Source organism: Homo sapiens, chromosome 13 (genome assembly GCF_000001405.40).
Source record: "Homo sapiens chromosome 13, GRCh38.p14 Primary Assembly".
Taxonomy (NCBI): Eukaryota; Metazoa; Chordata; class Mammalia; order Primates; family Hominidae; genus Homo; species Homo sapiens.
Window position 1 is genome coordinate 33,886,909 of NC_000013.11, and position 2,218 is coordinate 33,889,126.

At 39.2% G+C, this 2,218-nt stretch overlaps 1 protein-coding gene across 11 annotated transcripts in view; it reads left to right on the forward strand.

Moving 5' to 3' along the window:
* Nucleotides 1-2,218, forward strand: part of RFC3 (replication factor C subunit 3) — a 159,229-nt gene that overhangs the window by 68,760 nt on the left and 88,251 nt on the right. The gene's annotated exons all lie outside the window — the stretch shown is intronic.

A 2,218-nucleotide genomic window follows, 5' to 3' on the forward strand; every position in this document is an offset into this window, starting at 1 on the left:
TTTACTGAGAATGATGATTTCCAATTTCATCCATGTCCCTACAAAGGACATGAACTCATCATTTTTTATGGCTGCATAGTATTCCATGGTGTATATGTGCCACATTTTGTTAATCCAGTCTATCATTGTTGGACATTTGGGTTGGTTCCAAGTCTTTGCTATTGTGAATAGTGCCGCAATAAACATACGTGTGCATGTGTCTTTATAGCAGCATGATTTATAGTCCTTTGGGTATATACCCAGTAATGGGATGGCTGGGTCAAATGGTATTTCTAGTTCTAGATCCCTGAGGAATCACCACACTGACTTCCACAATGGTTGAACTAGTTTACAGTCCCACCAACAGTGTAAAAGTGTTCCTATTTCTCCACATCCTCTCCAGCACCTGTTGTTTCCTGACTTTTTAATGATTGCCATTCTAACAGGTGTGAGATGGTATCTCATTGTGGTTTTGATTTGCGTTTCTCTGATGGCCAGTGATGGTGAGCATTTTTTCATGTGTTTTTTGGCTGCATAAATGTCTTCTTTTGAGAAGTGTCTGTTCATGTCCTTTGCCCACTTTTTGATGGTGTTGTTTGGTTTTTTCTTGTAAATTTGTTTGAGTTCATTGTAGATTCTGGATATTAGCCCTTTGTCAGATGAGTAGGTTGCGAAAATTTTCTCCCATTTTGTAGGTTGCCTGTTCACTCTGATGGTAGTTTCTTTTGCTGTGCAGGAGCTCTTTAGTTTAATTAGATGTCAATTTTGGCTTTAGTTGCCATTGCTTTTGGTGTTTTAGACATGAAGTCCTTGCCCATGCCTATGTCCTGAATGGTAATGCCTAGGTTTTCTTCTAGGGTTTTTATGGTTTTAGGTCTAATGTTTAAGTCTTTAATCCATCTTGAATTAATTTTTGTATAAGGTGTAAGGAAGGGATCCAGTTTCAGCTTTCTACATATGGCTAGCCAGTTTTCCCAGCACCATTTATTAAATAGGGAATCCTTTCCCCATTTCTTGTTTTTCTCAGGTTTGTCAAAGATCAGATAGTTGTAGATACGCAGCATTATTTCTGAGGGCTCTGTTCTGTTCCATTGATCGACATCTCTGTTTTGGTACCAGTACCATGCTGTTTTGGTTACTGTAGCCTTGTAGTATAGTTTGAAGTCAGGTAGCATGATGCCTCCAGCTTTGTTCTTTTGGCTTAGGATTGACTTGGTGATGCAGGCTCTTTTTTGGTTCCATATGAACTTTAAAGTAGTTTTTTCCAATTCTGTGAAGAAAGTCATTGGTAGCTTGATGGGGTGAAAGCATCATAACTGATATACAAAGAGTTTCTTCCACTGGCATGCAAGTTCAGGGGGCACCATTACATACAACGTGAATGGTGCTTCTTGGAGTTTTATAACACAGTGGCCTTGGTTTACTGAACTCTTACTCACCCTTCAAGACTTACCTCACATGGTGCCTCTTCTGGGAAGTCCTCCTAAACAGAGTAGTCACTCCTAGTTAACCACAGTTTCCTGTAATTATATATTGTTATAAAGATTGTAATTTTATAATATATTGAATTGCAGTTAAATATCTATGACTATTTCTCAAGTGCGGAAGCCGAGTAGCCACAATGCTGCGTTACTCTATGGATGGATACAATGAATGATATTCCTGTATACAATAGATGCTCACAAACAGTTTCTGGAATAAAATAACTGTTAGTGACAATGAAAGTTTTGTATAGTAAAAATTATCCAGATCTCATATAGCAGATTCCTGGAAAATACTATTTTTCTCCATATGGATTTAGAAAAAAAGATCTGTGATGAAAACATTCATTGATAGCAAATATTTATTTTAAAGAAAATCTTTTTTTTTTTTTTTTGAGATGGAATCTTGCTCTTTCACCCAGGCTGGAGTACAGTGGCACAAACTCAGCTCACTGCAATGTCCACCTCCCAGGTTCACGCCATTCTCCTGTCTCAGCCTCCTGAGTAGCTGGGACTACAGGCGCCCGCCACCATGCCTGGCTAATTTTTGTATTTTTAGTAGAGACGGGGTTTCACCGTGTTAGCCAGGATGGTCTCAATCTCCTGACCTTGTGATCCAGCCACCTCGGCCTCCCAAAGTGCTGGGATTACAGGCATGAGCCATCGCGCCCGGCCCTTTAAAGAAAATCTTAAATTTGTATTACAAGATCATACTTTCTTCATGCCAACTCTTACTTTTCCTGCATTTGTATCTGCAG